Consider the following 20,195-nt stretch of genomic DNA (forward strand, 5'->3'; position numbering starts at 1 on the left):
TTTTGTGCGTGTGACTTTTGTTTTAAGGCATGGGGGAAGGTGCCAGAACCACTTGGTGACAATGGCATTATGATCTATTTTCCATGAATCTCCATGAGGATATTCATTGACTCAGTGAGTTAGACAAATTTCCTTATTGATAAAACACTCTCTTGGAACTGCTATACACATTTAAATAATAAGCATAACATTGAATATTAGCTAAATCAGATTCATTAATGGTGTCTATCATTTCCTTATGCTTTGTTCTCTTGAATGCAAGTGAAAGTTGTGATTCCAAATAGCTTCAGCCAAAGATTAGTTCACAAACTAAGAAATTTAAGAGTAGATCTCATCTGACACAGCTGCATCCAGTGAATCAAGTGATGCCGTCAGGCTTTGTTCCTCTCAGAATCATTCCTCATAGCTGGCAAGATGTCTGCCAGTGACCTCAAAGGGAAAGAAAGGTGTCTGCCCACAGATACAGCAGAAGCAACATGAGGAGGACTCTGGTTCAGACTGGATGCCTAGGCCCAGGGAGGTCGGTCACATGTGAGTCTCTGAGCAAGTATCTGGGCCCAGGGAGGTGGGGAATGCTAACTGTCCAGGCCTGGGTCATATGTCCACTCCTAAGTCTCTGGATAGAGAGGTGTCAAGGCAGACCCACCCAAACCACCTGAACTGGGTTTCCTCCAGAAGAAAGATGATGGGGTGCTGGGCTGGCAAAAAAATGACAGATATCTCCCCTGAAGATCAATTTTTTAAATAAGTACAAATCTCTTTCTTAATCGGGGTGACTACTGGACTAAAGTAAATGCAGGTTTGTGACGATATTCTCAAGGGTTGCATTTTATTCAATGGCTTGAGACTCAGCCAGCATTTAAATTTGGTCTATTTGCTAATGACTCTCCTCACAGCCAGTATCTGGGCTCTGTGTTTAGCCAATCATATAAACGTACTGATGCATACGTATATGGGATCACTGGAAGAAAAATTATGCCACTGAAATAATGTACCTTTGTGTCTGTCATGCCATAGCACAGTGCCTGATGCTGCTCAACCACCATGGAGCTTCTATTATTCCCCTGTGGCCTGTACCTTCATGTTGTCACCAATGTACCTGCCACTTAGGTTAAAAATAGCTTTACTAGTTTTGTTTTCCAAATACATGACTTCCTTAGAGGTTAGGCTAGAGGAAAATGAATTTGAATGAAGACAGGAAGATAGATAGAAAATTTACTCTAGAAACCAGCTTCCCTCTCCTTCCCATCTATATACACTTTCTTATATTTCCTACTGATGAGAGGTTGAAATTCATCTAACATTCACTGCTAGGTGTCAGAAAACAGCTATAGAATATACACAAAACATTCACTGCTAGGTGAATTCACTGCTAGGTGAATTCTAACATTCACTGCTCGGTGTCAGAAAACAGCTATAGAATATACACAAAAGGAAATGAGAAAGGTATTTAAATGCTTCATTACAAAAAAATAAGCACAATAGATGACAATCACGCAGGAAATGAGGGACAAAATACCTATAAAGCAGATAGAAAACAAATATCAAAATGACAGAACAGTTGAGCTTTCAGTTGTATTATATTATTTAACTCTTGCAACAATACCACAACGAGGCATTTTCTATTTTAAAATGGTGCAAACACAACTAGTTAAGTGGCAGAGAACCCACTGCTCTTTCTATGCACCAGGCTCATCAGCTCCTCCTTTAAGATGAAAACTCCCACAGAGGATGAAACCTTACTCATGCTTAATGTAGATTGCTATAATCAGATAAAGAAACAACTCTGCCTCATATAGGTAGGCCTCTGGAACGGAGAAGTTTAGGTCTGTAGTGTAAATGAGTAGGTCTTCATGGGTTGAAGGACTTCAGATTCCTGGGCCAGCTTGCAACATGAATGGCAAACAGGAGTAGTAAAGAGGAAGTGAGCACCAAAGAACCACTCTCTATTTTTTTGAGTCTGCAGCCAGAGACTACCAATGCCCAAGTAAAGAGATGAAGAATCAGCCTAGTCTTCCAACCCCAGACTGCCCTTTTCAGTTCAGCCCAGTTTCTTCTCATTCAAACTTTGTCCCTGCTCCTGCCCTTGACAAGGAAACAGAAGAGTACAAAAGGGAGGAAATAAGATGTTTATTCTTTTTTCCGCAGCTCCTTCTTTTTATTTTGAGCAGCCTTGAGTATAAGATTTGTATTTTCTTATTCATGGGAACCTCTAAAGATTCTAAATTCAAAACTCCAAAGGTTCTTACATCTAAACATTCTAAGATATAGATCACCAGACTAATAAGACCTTTTCTCTTGCTATCTGCATGACCTCAGGTGAGAATTAAATTATTCCCTTAGGATTTTTCAGTTTATTCTCCAGAAACCAGAAGTCTCTGCATTTTTAGGCCAGATGTTCCTAGCTTTATGGAAAGTTTCCTTACAAATCATCTAATGTTAGTTTTTAAAAACATAAGTGGCCAAGACAAATAGCATGCTGAGATGTACTAACAAATTAATGTGTGGGGTTTGAGCCCTGATAGGTCTCTCAGAACTATCTAAACACTCTGACTCTTGATTTGAAAAGTATACATTTGGAACAGATGTTAAGATCCATGCAAGTGCCTAAAATCCTCTTTGTGTTTTATTTGTAATGTAATGGCTCCATGGTAACCAAAAGGCTGTTAATAATCTTTTTTTAAGTTAACTGTGAGACATTAATGTCTCCAAAATGATTTTAACCAGAGATAGTGGTATTGTAATTATATAAGGAGTCAGATTTAAGGATTCAATTACTATCTTGAAGTAACTTAGTAACTTTGAAAGCAAGCAGCAGTTTTAGAGGTTTAGCAAACACTTTAGTAAACTGCTGTTTTAGAAGAGAAATCAGATCATTTGGTAAAGAGATGGGGCCTTCGTTAAAGCCCGAGGGTAGGTCCCTGTTTGGTCAGTTTGTATTTCTGACCCAACCAGCCTATTCATAGGAACCACTTCAAATGGAACTAGGGGACAGAGTGTGGCTGGAACCGTTCACATTCTTCATCACTCTTGTGGAAAGACACCCAACAGCATCATCTTCGTTTACGAATGTGTGTCATCACTGCTGTGGTCCTGGACGAGGTAACATGCTTCTGTATTTTCTGGGGGAAATACATTACTGTGATCCTGGAAACTTTAAAATCTCATCTTAAATGTATGATATATATAAATATATATATATATTATTTATAAAGTTGTGAGTTTTGCATTTAATCTGTTAATCTTCATAAATAGTAAAAACTTCTTTAAAACTACAACTTAGAAAGCTCATCTGATTCTTGTCAAACATAGGGAACTTGTAAGATCATTTCCAGCTAAATTATTAAATATGAAACTGAATAAAAATGATTATTCCCTGAGGTTTGGTTTTATTTTTTGGATAAAATGATCTACCTCACAAAGTAGCTGTGAGGGTTAAAATAAATAATACAAAAATATGGTTTATAAATTATAAAATGTTATTGAAATGTTATCACTTTTGTGTGTTTCACTGCAAATAAATAGCTGTAATGCTTGAACACATTTCTGACATGTATATGGGGACTCAGGAAGACAGTGGAAGTTTATTAAGAAATTGTTCTTAACAATTAAAATATTCTAGAAGTAGCATGTTAAGATACTTATATAAGTTGAAAGAAAAAAACAAAACTTATGTGTCTTCTAAATATAAGGAACGCTTTGAGATACAATTGAAATTCATTACCTAATTAAGCCGATAGATTTCTTGAAATATATTTCTAGATGTAGTAGTGGCGTTCTTTAAAGATAGAGTTGCACACACAATTATGGGTGTCTATTATGTGCCACTATACAAGTTTCTGGGGTACAATCTGAACAAAACGTGTCATCCCTGCTCTCATGGAACTTACAGTCAGAGAATATAAATCACTAAACCATCATGAAGTAAGAACAGAACATGTTATAAATGTCCTACTTCTGCAAAGCCCTTTATAATTTGCAAAAGTTTAATTTACCATATGTCATTTAGTCTTCATAATAACTTTAAGTGGTTAAGGAAACTGGAACTCAAAGAGTCATTCAGTTAGTAAATAATGGAGCTTGATCTCAAATCAAACCTAGTGCTCTTAATTCCAGACCACATTATCTTTCACAAGAACCCCATCATTCAGCTGAATACCATGAAGTAACAATAGACACCTACATGTATGTGATGAATTAAGGCATACTTTTACTAATTGACTTTCATATGGAATTAACTAACCTTATTTTAGATGAGATTTAAAACTCCAGCTACCCTTAGCAAAAATAAACTAGTTAGTAATTCTTACTTGGCATGTTAAAAACATGTTCAGAACTACTATTTAAGGATTTTTAAAGCCATAAAAAATCATCCCTGTTCTGAAAACATTGGTGGCTTTTATATAAGTAGTTCTTTTTAGCAGTTTTCTTTCTGTCCAAAGCTGAAATAATTTAGACTCAAAAGCAGTGGTTCTCAAACTTTTCTGTGCATGAGGCTCATTTGAGGAGTCTATCAAAAGGTAGGATCCTGAGCTTATTCCCAGAGCTTCTGATTCAACTATCTTTAGTGGAGCCCTGGAATCTGCATTCTAAACAGGTGAACTTGTTAATTGTGGCTGTTGCTCCCTGAACATACAATCTGAACACTACCCTGGAGAACCATGTCATATCAACATTAGCATATAACTCAGACCGAGAAGAATATTAAAATTATCCGAACCAACGGGAAACATTATAATTATTAAAAAGCAGTAATAAACAAGTGGAAGATAGATACTGGGTAAAGGAAGATAATTTTTAGCATATTTTAACCTTAATTTTAAATCACTTTAACACTTTAGTACCATAAAATGTTTTCTCCATAAGTAAACTTAAATAATTGTAAGATTCTTTCTTTGGGGAAATATTTTGGACATTGAGATTGTATCTATTTGTACTTCTGAAATAAATACAGTTTCTCACATTTGACAACTTGCTCAAGGCAGGCAAAGTAAGGAATAGTTTAAAAAAAAACATTAACTTAGGGACCTTAGTGAGATGTAGTTACCATATTATTAGATTGAAACGTTCAGTTTTCAGCAAAAAAATAACAAGGCATACAAAGAAACAGGAAAGTATGTCCCTTTCAAATGAAAACAAAAACAAAAACTATCTCTGAAAAAGACTTGATGGTGGATCCACTAAAGGCTCTACAACGACTGCCTTAAGGATGTTTTTTAAAGAACCAAAGAGCATGCGGAAAAAGTCAAAAAACCAATGGATGAACAAAATGGTAATATCAATATAGAGAAAATCTAAGACGATACAAAAAAGAAATTCAAGAGCTGGAAAGTACGATAATTGAAATGAAAAACTCACTAGAGGTATTCAAAGGCAGATTTGGGCAGCAGAAGAATCAGTATACATGAAAATAGGACAATGGAAATTATTAGTCTGAGCAATAGAAAAAAATTGGAAAAAAGTGAACAGGGTATAAGGATCTGTGGGACCCATCAAGCAGACCAACATACACATTGTGAGGATCCCAGAAGGAAAAGAGAGAAAGAAAGGAGCAGAGAGAATATTTGAAGAACAGCCAGATAATGACCAACAAACTCCAAGTAGAATGAATTCCAAGAGATCCACACAACTATCAAAAGCCAAAGACAGAAAGAGAATCTTGAAAGTAGCATGAAAAAATCAATTCATCACATATAAGTGATCCTTAATAAGATTATCAGATTTCTCATCAGAAACTTTGGAGGCCAGAATGCAGTGAGCTCACATATTCAAAGTGTTAGGAAAAAAATATATCATCAACCACATTTCCTGTATTTGACAAAACTGTTCTTCAAACGTGAGAGAGAAATTAAGACATCCCCAGATAAACAAAAGCTGAGAAAGTATGTTACCACTAGACCTGCCCCTGCCAGAAATGCTAATAGGGGTCCTGCAAGTTGAAATGGAAAGACACTAAACAGCAACTCAAAGCCACATGAAGAAATAAGGATCTCAGTAAAGAAAAATACATGGGCAATTATAAAATCTAGTACTTTTGTAACAATGGTTTGTAACTCCACTTTTTGTTTTCTACATAGAGACTACTGCATTTTTAAAAATTGATTTTGGACACACAGTGTATATAATTTTGTGAAACTTAAAGGAGTGATAGACAGAGATATAAAGAGCAGAATTTTTGTATATTTTTGAAGTTCAGCTGGCATAAGTCCAAATTACCTTCCGGATATTAAATGTCACCCTATGGTAACCACAAAGAAAACAGCTACAGAATATACACAAAAGAACTGAGAAAGATACTTAAATGCTTCACTATAAAAAAGTAAACTACACACAAAAGACGTAATGCAGGAAATGAGGGACAAAAAAGCTAAGCTATGTAGAAAACAAATAGCAAAATGACAGGAGTAAGTCCCTCCTTATCAGTCATCCTCAAAAAGGAAGAAAATTCTGACATATACAAAATGGAGGAAACTTGCAGACATTATGCTAAGTGAAATAAGCCAATTACGAAAGACAGATACTGTATGATTACATTTATATGAGGTACTTAGAGCAATCAAAATCATAGAGACAAAAAGTAGACTGGTGGTTGCCAGGGACAGGGCAGATGGGAGAATAGGGAACCATTGCTTAATGAGTATAGGGTATAAGTTTTGCAAGGTAAAAAAAGTTCTGGAGATGGACAGTGGTGATGGTTGCACAATATAAATTACTTACTACTACTGAACTGCACACTTAAAAAGGAATAAGATAGTATATTTTACATTTTACCACAATAAAAAAATTACTGAAAAAAGTTGTCTTAGATATGTTTTCAAAATATCTAATGGTTCCTATTTCATCTATGTTACTTAGATTTGAGAAAGTAAGCCTTTGTCTACACTGTACAAAATGAAATAGGGATTTGGTGAACATACAGTTAAGACAGATAGTCAAAGACATCAACTTTGCGATTTTGGTAACATCCGATTAACCAGATAGTTACTGTCTTGACTTCACTATGTCTGGGTTTCTTAACCTGGGGAACATGTACTTAAGTAGAAAAAGAAATTACACCTTTATTTTCACTAATTGATAATGAAATTTAGTATTCCTTTCCATTGTGAATACAGGCAACCAACCACAGTAGTATTAACAATTGTGTCTGTCACCAAAGGAAATGTAAGATCTTTTTATGTTACAATTGTTGCAGATATCTCAAATTACTGTCAATCCTCATTTCTGTTTTAAAATAATTATAAATTCACTTGTGTTTCTTTTGGTTTTCAATTTTAAGAAGTTTTTAAGTTAATCTGGTTTTAAAAAATTAAAGCATTATTTAATAATGAAATTTTAATTTATTATAATGACCCAGTAAAGTGTAGTTTCTCTAATTTTCTCTTTGTTTTAGTGATTGATTGTACATGTACTTCGGCAGTGTAAGGAGCCATCTTTATTTGGAGTGATTAAGATTAACTCACCTAAAATTTGCAAAGGGTTTATGTTCTCCTTGCACACTAAAGCTTTTCATAATTTTTCTGAAATTTAGAAGATAACTATAAAAGCAGAAAAAATGTAGCTTTTTAAAAGGATAATTTTTTAAAATCCAAATATATTTATAAAGATTTCAAGTAGCCTAATACTCAATTGTTTCTTTCCAAATGTTTTCTTTAGTGGAAATAAGTTACCCATTTTTAAAATTACATTTTTATTATCCTATTCTTACATCACAATATATTTAATACCTTTTTACATAGTTTCTAGGTAAGATCTTTATAATTCTTTACCAAAAATTGAGTGATACATCAATGATACAGCAATGACTATCAGTTATTCACACTTTTTTTAGATTTTCAAAGAAAGCATTTTTCAAAACTATGTAAGGACATATGACTTACATTACAGTAATTAGCAACAATTCAGTAATAATCCAAAACATGAATTTTCCTTTTTAAAAAGTACTTAGTATATTTTTATACCTTTTATCTTCCTGTATGTGTGTGTCATTATTTTTAAAATTAAAAAGAATACAGAATGGGGCATCATTTGTGTATTTGCTAAAGGTTTACTATTTTCATTAGGGTCTTCTCTTTTGAGATAGAGTCTCACTCTGTCACCCAGGCTGGAGTGCAGTGGCTCAATCTCTGCTCACTGCAACCTCCATCTCCTGGGCTCAAGCGATTCTCATGCCCCCAGCCTCCCGTGTAGCTGGGATTACAGGCATGCGCCACCATGCCTGGCTAATTTTTGTATTTTTAGTAGAAATGGGGTTTCACCATGTTGGCCAGGCTGGTCTTGAACTCCTGACCTCAACTGATCTGCCCACCTCAGCCTCTCATAGTGCTAGGATTACAGGTATGAGCCAGCATGCCTGGCCAGGGTCTTCTTTTAAGGCATCAAAGCCCAAATAACTTACAAGATGTTAACAAATACATGACATTAATGAATACTCTATCAGAGCACTAGGGACTGAATGCTGGTGTCCCCCATTAAATTCACATGTTGAAAATCTAATCTCCAGTGTGATGGCATTTGAAGCTGGAACCTTCATAAATGGGATTAGTACCTTTACAATAAGAAATAAGGGAGAGATGGTTTCTCCCTCCACCATGTGAACATATAGCAAGAAGGCATTCATCTGCAAACCATGAAGAAGAATCAGCTAGCACCTTGGAACCTCATCAGGAACTTAATTGTCTAGCACCTTTATCTTGGACTTCCCTGCCTCCAGAACTGTGAGAAATATATTTGTTGTCTAAGCCACCCAGTTTATGGTATTTTGTTATAGCAGCCAAGCTAAGACAGCAATTAGTACCAAGAAGTGTGGTGATGCTATAACCAATATATAAAGATGTGGAAGCAGCTTTGACGTTAGGTAACAGATAGAAGCTGGAAGAGTTTTGAGGTACTAGAGTACCTGGAAGAGTACTGGAAGAGTTTTGAGGTACTAGTTTTTTTGCTAGAAAAAGCCAGTATTGCCATGAAGGGATTGATAGAGGTGATTTTGGTGAGGGCTCAAAGAGAAGAGGGTGGGAGAGAAAGCCTCCATCTTCATAGAGAACACGTAAATCACCATGAAGATAATGTTGGTAGACATGGACAATAAAGGCCATTCTGATGAAGTCTCAAATGAAAATGAGGAACCTGTTATGGGAAACTGGAAGAAAGGTGATCTTTGTTATAATATGCCAAAGAACTTGGATGATTGTGTTCATGTTCTAGTGTTTTGTGGAAAGTAAAATTGTGAGCCATGAAATTAGATATTGAACTGAAGAGATCTCCAACCAGTGTTGAAGGAGTGCCTCGGTTTATCTTGACTGCTTAAAGTAAAATGTGACAAAAAATGAAGACAGAATTCTTAACAAAAACGGAACCAGAACTTAAAAGATGTGGGAAATTATCAGTCTGTCTGCATTACAAAAAGATAAGAAAACACGTTTGGTAGAGAACACTAAGAGTGTAGCAGACAAGTCATCCAATTAGATTTATGTGGGTGTGAACCACAGACCTAATCAGCCACCCCAGCAGGAACACTGCTAGTTTGTATTGAAAGGAATGGAGATGGGACAGAATGAGGGAAGACTGTTGGACTTCTTGAATTTGGGACCATAGAGCTATTCAGCTGTGAATGTACACTATTCTTCAAGAAAAGGAGAAACTGACCCGGAACAATGATTCAGAGAACATCAGTGGTACCTTCTCAGTTTCAAAAGGGGCAGTCATTGCCTTGGTTTCAACAGGCCTGACAGCTTCCGCCTGGTGATATGGGGGTCATCCTCCTCCAACATAGTCCTGGGGGCAATACCTCTGCCTCACTGGGTCCTGAAGCCAGAGTATCAGGCCAAAGAGGATTATTACTAAGACTGAAGATCTCATGGTGTTTGCCTTGCTAGGTTTTGGACTTGCTGGGGACCCATTACACCTTCCTTTTTTCCTGTTTCTTGCTTTGGGAATAGGAATGTCCACCCTTTGTGTGTCCCACCATTGTACTGTGGAAGCACATAACTTGTTTCATTTCACAAGTTCAAAGCTGGAAAGGAATTTTACCTCAGGATGAATTCTACCTTGAATCTCACCCACATCTGATTTAGACGAGACTTTGGACTTTAGAGTTGATGCAGGAATGAGTTAAGACTTTTGAGGCTGTCGAGATGGAATGTATGTATTTTGCATGTGAGGAGGACATGAATTTTGTAGGACCAGGTACAGAATGCTATGGAGTGAATCTTTGTGTTCCCCCAAAATTCATGTGTTAAGCCCTAACCTCCAATATGATGGTATTTGGAGGTGGGGCCATTGGGAGGTAATTAGATCATGAGGGTAGAGCCCTCATGAATGGGGTTAGTGCCATTATAAGAGACATAAGAGAGTTGATCTCTCTCTCATGTGAGGACAAAGAAGGACATCTATCTGCAAACTGGGAAGAGGGCCCTCACCAGAAACTGCATTAGCTGATGCCTTGATCCTGAGCGGAATTCCCAGCCTCCAGAACTGTGAGAAGCGTTTGCTGTTGTTTAAGCCATTCGGTTTATGGTGTTCTATTATAGCAACCTGAGCTAAGACATAGGGCTTGGAAAGATATTTAATTTTCTAAACATATCTAATGTTTAGGGTGAGTATTATTAGATCTGAAGACAGACATCTGTCTATGAAATATGTTATTCTAGGCAACTGTGGAATATATTTTCCATCCCTCTTCTCCTACAGATCTATTTGGGAACTTGGAAGTGAAAAAGAATACATGTAATTTAGGTTATCAAGTTTGGTTTCTTAATTTAATTGAATCTATTGCAGCTAATCTCCTATTTCTCATTAAACTTACAGGAAAATAATCAGACTTCATACAATGTAAGTATAACTTGTATAAAATCCAAATGAAGCAGGAATTTTGGTGAAGCAGGGTATGGAGAATATATATGTCTTAAAAATACAATGTGTGAAAAACATAGCCTGTTATGTCTAGAGTTTTGGGGGTATGTGCAGTTATTTCATGTAATGGATTTTTATCAAATACAAGGTATTTTTCCACCAGAATACTTCCTGTGTTTTATTTACTGCACTGAATCCACAGCCTGTCTTTTCTCGTGTCACACTGGAATGCTGTACTTCACATCTTCTTTTTTTTAATGGGAAAGATTCCGAGGATGTCTCTTCTTTCTGAGTATAGATGACTGTAGGTAAAATACATACCTAATATGGAGAAAGAAGTTGCAAAAGTAAGTAAGGTTAACTATTTCTCTGGAAGAAACAATGCTTTTAAAATACAGTCAGAGTGCTGCCCAAATCCAGGGAGAAGACACTTGCAAGGGAGATGTGAGAAGGAATGTTTAAAGAAGTGTCCAGATTTTATGCAGAAAGAGAGGTAAATCAAACTCTTCCATCCTACTTTTTTTAATGCAAGGAATTGTCTTCCTTTCTTTAGCATAGCTCTCTCCACCTTCCTCTAAAGTTTCACATTTTTGTCTTTTCTCTCTATATGTTGTTCATATGTTTGATATCTGTTACCTTCTAGAGATAATCATTATTTTGGAGATTTGTGAAGGTTAGAGCTGGGAAAACAAAAATTTAATAGTGAAAGTTTTTTCCCCAATTTCCTGGAAAATGATTAGGTTTAATGATCAAATTTATTCAAGGGTAAGTTTTTGTTCCATACATTTCTCTTGAGTCTGTAACACCGACTCCCATTTGCCTGATAGGAAGTGCCAGCTTGAAAAGCCAAACAAACAAGAAACAAAATGGATATAAATGGAAACATCAGAAATAGCCAATTCTTCTTAGTTTGACATCTAGGTTTTATTTGTAGATACCTGTGCACATGGTCAAAACTTCTATATCTCATACATAATGCAGCTATATTTTCTGATAGTAAAATTGTTCTTATTTGTACAGTGAAAGTGAAATATATGATCCCATGATGCCCTGCAAAAAGCATTATAACCTCCAGGGGCTTTACTAGCAAGATCTAGTTCATGATGTCAGGCTTCCTCTTTGGTCTCTCCCATGTTTACCAACCTGTATATTAAGGTAGACGGCAAGCACTAACCAAAAAGTACAGGAAAAATGCAAAAACAAGACCAAAAAAGCCACTTACCTATAAAGAGCATCATGAGATATATTTTCAGCACATATGGGAAATAGATGGATAAGTCAAAGGGCAGCTTGGTGGAATAAGTGCCAAATGATTCAAAATAAGGCAGCGATTGATAGATGGCAAATGCTGTTAAAAAAGAAAGGCATCATAAAGGTATTCCTCCTTAAGTTGTTACAGGGATGTGTATATATGTCTTCATAGTTGTAGGATATTTTGAATTTGATAATGACAGTTTTGTAATAGTTGCTGAATCTTTTTGCTAAACCTAGTTTAATATAGAAATCTGTGAAATGATTAAGTTGGCAAGGTGCTTACAGCAGTATGACTTGTTGAATGTTTGTCCATGGTATACCTTATTGTGCCTACAGAAGAATTTACAATGTTTCTTAAAATGTTATCTCAAAATACATTTGTCCACCTAGCCACAAATAGGGGTGATAGAGAGATGAACTTGGAAAATGGTGCATATATTTTCCTCTTAGAGTTTCACAACACACATTAACATAGTAGAACACATATTAACATTGTGAGAAATTCTGTAATAAAAAAATACCACCTAGCCTTTCCTCAATGTAACTGGCCTTAGAATATCTCCTTCTTCCTTCTTAACCACCAGTAGTATTTAATAAGTATTTTGAAGAACTCTATGAGAAATGCTGGCCTAAATTATTTTGAGGGAGGGGGCTGGTATCAGGTAAAAAAAAGATTAAAGTTCAGTAACATTGTATCCCATGTATAGATATTTTTGGTAACATTTCATGCAATGAAATGTTAATATGCTAACATGATGTAAGATGTTATCATTAGGGTAAGCTGGGTGAAGGGTACATGGGAATGGTGCACTATTTTTGCAATTTCTTATGGGTCAAAATTATCCCTACATAAAAAGTTTTTAAAAAGAGAAAGATGAAGAAAAGGCAAGAGTTCACAACTGTTAGAGCCAAGCAGAGGTATGAGTAGCATCAGTGAAGGATCTGCCACTGACACCAAATATGCAGTTTAAGGTTAACACAGGCCGCACCTATGTCTCTAGCATTTTATCAGTATAATTAGTTGATTTTGTTATTTACATAAGCTTTGTTTTTGTCTTATATCTGTCAGATGGGAAATTATAGTTATTAAAATTATTAAAATTAAAGTTATCGAAAGTTTAGTAGGTTTATTTAACTGCGCAGTTTTATACTTTGGGACATCTAACATATACAGAAACACAGAAAGATAAAATTACAATTATCTGTATTCCACCATCCAGAGCATTATTGACATTTTTGTCATATATATCTCTAGACTATTTTCTGCATATACCTTATTTTGTAATTGCAAGAATAAGTTTATGAAGTTAATAAAAGAATAAGGGTTGTATGGCAACCATATAAGAACATGGCTTTCCTAGAAAAGACAAGGATTAGAATTATGGAATAACAAGAATGCAAAAGTTTCCTATACATTTATCCACCCCTTATTCCTAGGAAGGGATTAGTCATATTTCTACCTTATTCCTTTATATATTCTTTTAAATTTGATTAAGTTTTAATTGGCAAATCATAATTGTATACATATATGAAGCACAATGTGATATTTTGATATATGTGTACAATGTGGAATGATTAAATCAAGCTAATTAACATATCTACCACCTCGCTTACTTTTCGTGGTGAGATTTGAAATGTACTCTTGGCTATTTTGAAATATACATTATTAAGCACAGTCACCCTGCTGTGCACTAGATCTCAAAAATGTATTCCTCCTAACAAACTTTGTACCCTTTGACCAACAGCTCCCAATTTCCTTTCTATATTCTCTACAGTACTATGATTTAACAAAGATAATGTATTTGATATTTCAATGAGAGGTTACTTGATTCTTAAAGAATGGACAATCAGGTTCTTACTGTTTTCAAGACAATTATTCTTTAGATCCACTTGGCATAGTCTATTCCAAAATTAATAATTCTTCCTTTTGAATCAAAACAAATTTAGAAATTCTAACATGATTTACAGTAACAAGCTCTTTTTATCTGCTCATCAGTAGATAGAAAATATGTGTTTTTGTTTTATAACTGGCTTTTATATACTTTGGTTATTGTTAATGTCGTCATCATTTTATGTTAAACACCATGTCCTTATGTTTTTCCCTTAGTTACCTTAACATGCTTTCTTATTTTATGTCTTCAGTTTTGAAAACTTTAATCATGTCTTACAGAATGCTCCTTACCAGTCTACCAAATCCATTGCAGAAGAAAGCATATATTCTCCAAATATCCTCAAGCTCTGCTGACTGATGATCTGAATGATTTGATCTTAAGTTTTAGGTTTATATTTAGGCTATATAATTAGCCTACTCATACTCAATAATTCATTCTGTGTTCATTGAGCATGTATACTGGTGCATAAAAGAGAGGAAGGAAGCAAAGAAACAGACTCAGACATCCTGGTACCCCCCCCCCCCCCAGAGCTTACAGTCTAGTCAAGGAAATGGACATTAATCAAAGAATCATACAAATGTGTAATTATGCTGATATAAGCCCTGTTAAGACAGCAGTCCCCAACCTTTTTGGCACCAGTTACTGGTTTTGTGGAAGACAGTTTTTCCACAGACCAGAGGAAGAAGGATGGTTTCAGGATGGTTCAAGCACACAACATTTATTGTGTACTTTATTTGTATTATTATTACATTGTAAGAACAAAATAATTATACAACTCACCATAATGCAGAATCAGTGGGAGCCCTGAGCTTATTTTCCTGCAACTAGATGGTTTCATCTGGGGGTGATGGGAGACAGTGAAAGATCATCAGGCATTAGATTCTCATAAGGAGCACACAACCTAGATCCCTCACATGCACAGTTCACAACAGGGTTTGTGCTCCAATAAGAATCTGATGCCTCCACTGATCTGACAGGAGGTAGAGCTCAGGCGATAATGTGGGCAATGGTGAGTGGCTATAAATACAGATGAAGCTTCACCTGCTAGCCTACTGCTCACCTCCTGGTATGCGGCCTGGTTCTTAATGGGCCACAGACTGGGATCATGGCCTAGTTTGGGGGCCCCTGCTATAAAAGATTCATGATACTGTACCCAGGGGAACTCAGTTGAGGAAGTCAGGGAATGCCTCCCTCAGAAAATGATGATTAATCTCAAGGTAGAGTTAACTAGTTGCTGAGAGAGGGTAGGATACATAGTAAATGGTAAGTGGGAAAGACTCACCAGAGGGGACTGAATTTCTGTGCATTAAAAGTTAAAAATCATAGAATCTCTAAATGTTAACTTCTTTTTGGTGAATAAGCAGACTCTGAGAGGTTAAATGAGTTACCCAAAACTCACACAGTGAGTTAATGAAGTGAAGGCCTCAGATGCCGTTGCTTTTTGTCCAGTATTTTGTCTACTGTGCAGAGCTGCTTCCCTCTTCAACTTTGCCTCTTTGCATCAAGGGAAATATGCCAGTAAGGATACACTGAGTGAGCTAAGCATTCGCAAAAATAGTAATTTAATCATCAAAAAATTTAGTGAACCATTATAACTAGATGGCTTTTGTCAGTAAGCAATACAGCAAGTCACTCTTTTCTTACCTTCAGCAAGAACACACAAAGGATAAATTGGCATCCATAGTGTTTGACTGAGCCATGTCAAGACAGCATAGGATATTCCTATGACTGATAACATGCTATAAGTGTACCTGAAAGGAGATGAGAAGCTCATAAACATCATTTTCTGCTAATATCTGGGAAATAGGAGAAACTACTGTGTAATTAAATACAGAGATACAACTGGAAAGTGTACAAATTGTATATTTTATTTCCTATAATTTAAGGAAGAGTTTTTTTTAAATGGGGGAAAGGGACCATGTCAATCTGGCTTGTCTCATGTGGTAGATCATTAATAATTATAAAGCTAAACAGAGCAAGTAACTCTTACTCCCTCCTCAGAAAAATACAGTTACAAATTTCCTTGATTAGTGACTTCAATTTCATTAAAAAGCCAAGCTCATTTTTTGCAGCAAGCAGCTAGGTTTTTTAATGACAGACATACTTGTAAATATCTCAGGAATTCATTTAAAAATAAAATGTGACTTCCAAATCTTTATTTGGCATCCTTCTGCTTCTGCAGTTGTACTATCTATGTGATCAATTAAAGAACTGGCCTTGGGAGCTGATTTGGGTATAGTAGGGAGCTTTAAGCCTACCACTGTGATGTAAAAAGTAGTCTACGTTGTGTTTTATTTCTTTGAATAGGACACTGGTTTTTAGGCTTGAGCATATATCAGAATCACCTAGATGGCATGTTAAAACACAGATTGCTGGGCCCTACTCCAAAGTTTCTGATCCAATGGAACTGTGGTACACCCCAGACTTTGTATTAACAAGTTCCAGGTGATGCTGATGCCACTGGTCTAGGGACCACACTTTGAGAACTACTAATATAGACAGACAATAAATACATATGGCAAAACTACCCAAAAAACCTTGAAAACATGAATGGGGAAGAGTAAATCTCTCTCAATCCAGGACCTGAATTCCACCCCTCAGAGACAATAGCCAATGTCAGTTTCTTAGGTATTCTTTCAAAAATGTTTTTGCATTTGCATATCTATGTGCATATTTACTATACAGAATATATACCAGCAGTGGAGGACCTCACTGAACATAGCATATAATCAAGCTTTTTGATCTTTACCAATCAAAGTGAAAAATGGTATCTCATCTTTTTCCCCTCATATTAGAAGAGTGGGTAAGCATGTTTTCATGTTTAAAAGCCACTTTTGGCCAGCCGTGGTGGCTCACTCACTCCTGTAATCCCAGCACTTTGGGAGGCCAAGCTGGGCAGATGACCTGAGGTCAGGGGTTCAAGACCAGCCTGGCCAACGTGGCGAAACCCCATCTACACTAAAAATACAAAAATTAGCCGGGCGTGGTGGCGGGTGCCTGTAATCCCAGCTACTCAGGAGGCTGAGACAGGGGCATCACTTGAATCCAGGAGGCGGAGGTTGTGGTGAGCTGAGATCACACCACTGGACTCCAGCCTGGGTGAGAGAGCAAGACTCCATCTCAAAAAAAAAAAAAAAAAGAAAAGCCACTTTTGATGAAGTCCAATTTATCTTTTTTTTCTTTTGTTGTGTACCTTATAACACAGCCAAATCCAGTCATCAAGATTTACTCCTATTTTTTTTCAAAGAGTTTCATAGTTTTCCACTTATATGTGAGTGGTTAACTTCATTTTTTTGTGTGTGTATATCCAGTTGTCCCAACACCATTTGTTGAAAAAGACTATTCTTTCCCCATTGAATGGTCTTGGCATTGTTGTCAAAAATTAATTGACCAAAAATGTGTGAGAGTTTATCTTTATCAATTTTATTCCATGATTTATCCTTACACAGTACCACACTTAATTATTGCTTTGTAGTAAGTTTTGAAATGGGAAAGATTGAGTCCTTCAACTACATTCTTCTAAGATTGTTTTGGCTATTCTGAGTTCCTGGAGTTTAAATATGAGTGTTAGGGTCAGCTTCTCAATTTCTGCAATGAAGTTATCTGGGTTCTAATAGGGATTGCACTGAATCTACAGATCAATTTGGGGAATATTGCCATCTGAACAATATTAAGTCTTCCAAGTCATGTGGGATGTCCTTTCATTTATTTAGCTCTTTAATTTTTTTCAACAATGCTTTTTCAACAATGTATAAATTCTGTGCATCTTTTGTCAAGTTTATTCCTAAGTACTTTATTATTTTTATGCTACTGTAAACAGAATTGTATTCTTGATTTCATTTTATGGTAGTTAATTGCAAATATATAAAAATAATTCATTTTTACATATTGATAATTTTTTATGTATAAGATGTCATCTGCCAATAGAGATAGTTTTACTTGTTGCTTTCCAGCCTAGATGCCTTTTATACCATTTTGTTTGTTTTCTGTTCTGCCTTATTGCCATGGATAGAACTTCCAGTACGATGATGAATATAACTGGCAAGTGTGGATGCCCTTGTCTTGTTCCTGGATATTAGGAGGAAGGCATCAGTCTTTCATCATTAACTATCATGTTAGTATGGATTTTTCATAGATGCTTTTTTCAGGCTGAGGAAGTCTCTTGCTCATTACTTAGGAAAAATAATGCTAGGGTAGGGTGGGATGATAAGTTTACCCCCATTTTACAGAGGAAAAAAAAGTTTCTAAAAGTTAGGTGCCTTGGAATTTCACTCCTAGGTATAAGGGAAATGAAAACATGTGCACACAAAAGCTTGTATATGGATGTTCATGGCAGTACTACTCATGGCCAAACAGTAGAAACCACCCAAATGTCCATCAACTGATAAGTGGATACACAGAAAGTGGTAAATCAATGCAATAGAATTTTACTCAGCCCAAAATGCAATGAAGTACTGCACATGCCACAACACAGAGGAACCTTGAAAACATTATGCTAAGTAAAAGACGCCTGTCACAAGAGGCCACATATTGGATGACTCCATTTATATGAACTTTCCAGGATAGGCAATCCATAGAGACAGCATATGTGTAGTTTCCAGGGGCTGAGGGAAAGAGGGAGAGGGGAGTGACTGCTACTGGGTATAAGGTTTCTTTTATGGGTGATCAAAATGTTCTAGGATAGTAGTGATGATTGCACATCTCTTTGGATATACTAAAACTCACAAATTTTGTATTTTAAAAGGGTGAATTTTATGGTATATAAATTATATCTTAATAAAACTGTTATTAAAATAAGAAAGGTTAAGTGATTTGCCCAACATCACTTAGCAAGTAAGTAGTGGAGGTGGGTTTCATCTAGAGAGATCTTCTACCTCTATGTCCAAAAATCTTCCTATGACAGCATGCTACTTCTTTCAGTGCAAATGTTGTTTTGTTCTCCAATGTATTTATTGAGCTTCTCTGACACTGAAAGAGTAAGCATAGCCAAGAGTAACATACTAGAAAGCTTCAATCCCAAATGATGTTCCATTGTCTCATGAACAGAAGTTATGGGCTACAAAAGTCCATGAAGTTTGCCCCAAGTCCACTAAACTATCAATTCAAAAATGAAAAATTACTAATTTATATACATAATTAAATTCATTTTACTTCAGCAAAAGATTTCATTCTAATTCACTCTAGGACTCAACTTATTATTTAAACATATTTTAATTCAGTTAAGTTATTGACAATATAATGAAAAAATTTACATACCCTTGGCTGAAAAACAAACTAGGGCTCTTTTGTTACCTATTCAAATCCAGATCTCTCAAGTAGGAGGGACGGTTCTTATTTAGGAAAGCTGACCTAGCAGTTAGGACACCTCCCCAGAGTGAGGCGTAAGCACTCACTGAGCAAAGGGGACTGTTTGACACCACCACTTGTAGAGGTAAGACTAGGCACATCTCACTGCAAAGTTTTAGAATTAGCACTAAAAGGACTTAAGTTAGTCATTTGAACCCACTGGAATTGTAAATGAATGTGAGAGTGCATTTTCTTCCTGAGAGGCCCTATATTTAAAAGATTCTTGAATGCACAGAAACTAACTGTAAATTCTGGTGATACAATAAAAGACCTGCTTTGCTTATTAAAGCAACCGTACTAAAGCAATTGTGAGGAATGCCTTTGTTAGGAAACAGCTGAGGGTTATTCCAAGTTGGTTTTATGCCAAGCCTTCTGCAGAAACCTGAATGTGCTGATTTACTCTTGTAATACCACGGTAGGTTTTCATTATCTTTGATATGCCCATTATGGAGAACACTAAAAATACATTTCCATATCAAGATAAAATAATTTGAAAAGGGGTTATGTTTTCCTCTCTCGTACCAAGTAACCTCTGGTTACTGCTAGTACTGGTTTCACTGCAGAAAGCAATTTAGCCTTGTTTTAAGAGATTATTTTGCCTTCTTACCTAACCATATCCAATAGATTCCAAAAGACGAATAAAACACACACCACATATTTCTCTTGGACTTCCTCTTGACTGGTGATCACCACAAAAAGGATGATTATTCTTTCTGTGAGCTAACAAAGAAACAGCAAAGTCAGAAATTAGGACATCTATTAGGCTATGTAGGTAATTTTCTAATTTTGAAAACCAGATCTCCTTTCAAAAGTATACTTTAGCTGGAAATATGTATACTAAACTGTTAACAATGC

At 36.0% G+C, this 20,195-nt stretch overlaps 1 protein-coding gene across 5 annotated transcripts in view; it reads right to left on the reverse strand.

The window, feature by feature from the left end:
• Positions 1–3,558: 3,558 nt before the first annotated feature.
• The window catches only part of HACD4 (3-hydroxyacyl-CoA dehydratase 4), a 32,132-nt gene continuing 15,495 nt past the window's right edge, over positions 3,559–20,195 (reverse strand). For 2 of the 5 annotated variants that reach the window (NM_001321903.2, XM_017014713.2), the window contains exons 4-9: positions 19,948–20,060; positions 15,639–15,745; positions 15,394–15,488; positions 14,775–14,832; positions 12,071–12,196; positions 3,559–11,169 (exon numbers count right to left, since the gene is read on the reverse strand). In NM_001321903.2, the coding sequence (NP_001308832.1) occupies positions 11,087–11,169; positions 12,071–12,196; positions 14,775–14,832; positions 15,394–15,488; positions 15,639–15,745; positions 19,948–20,060 (582 nt within the window). In that variant the 3' untranslated portion in view covers positions 3,559–11,086. Of the gene's footprint in view, positions 11,170–12,070; positions 12,197–14,774; positions 14,833–15,393; positions 15,533–15,638; positions 15,746–19,947; positions 20,061–20,195 lie in introns of those variants that run through there. The other 3 variants (NM_001010915.5, NM_001321883.2, XM_047423390.1) reach the window with 2 other exon arrangements.

Source organism: Homo sapiens, chromosome 9 (genome assembly GCF_000001405.40).
Source record: "Homo sapiens chromosome 9, GRCh38.p14 Primary Assembly".
Classification (NCBI taxonomy): Eukaryota; Metazoa; Chordata; class Mammalia; order Primates; family Hominidae; genus Homo; species Homo sapiens.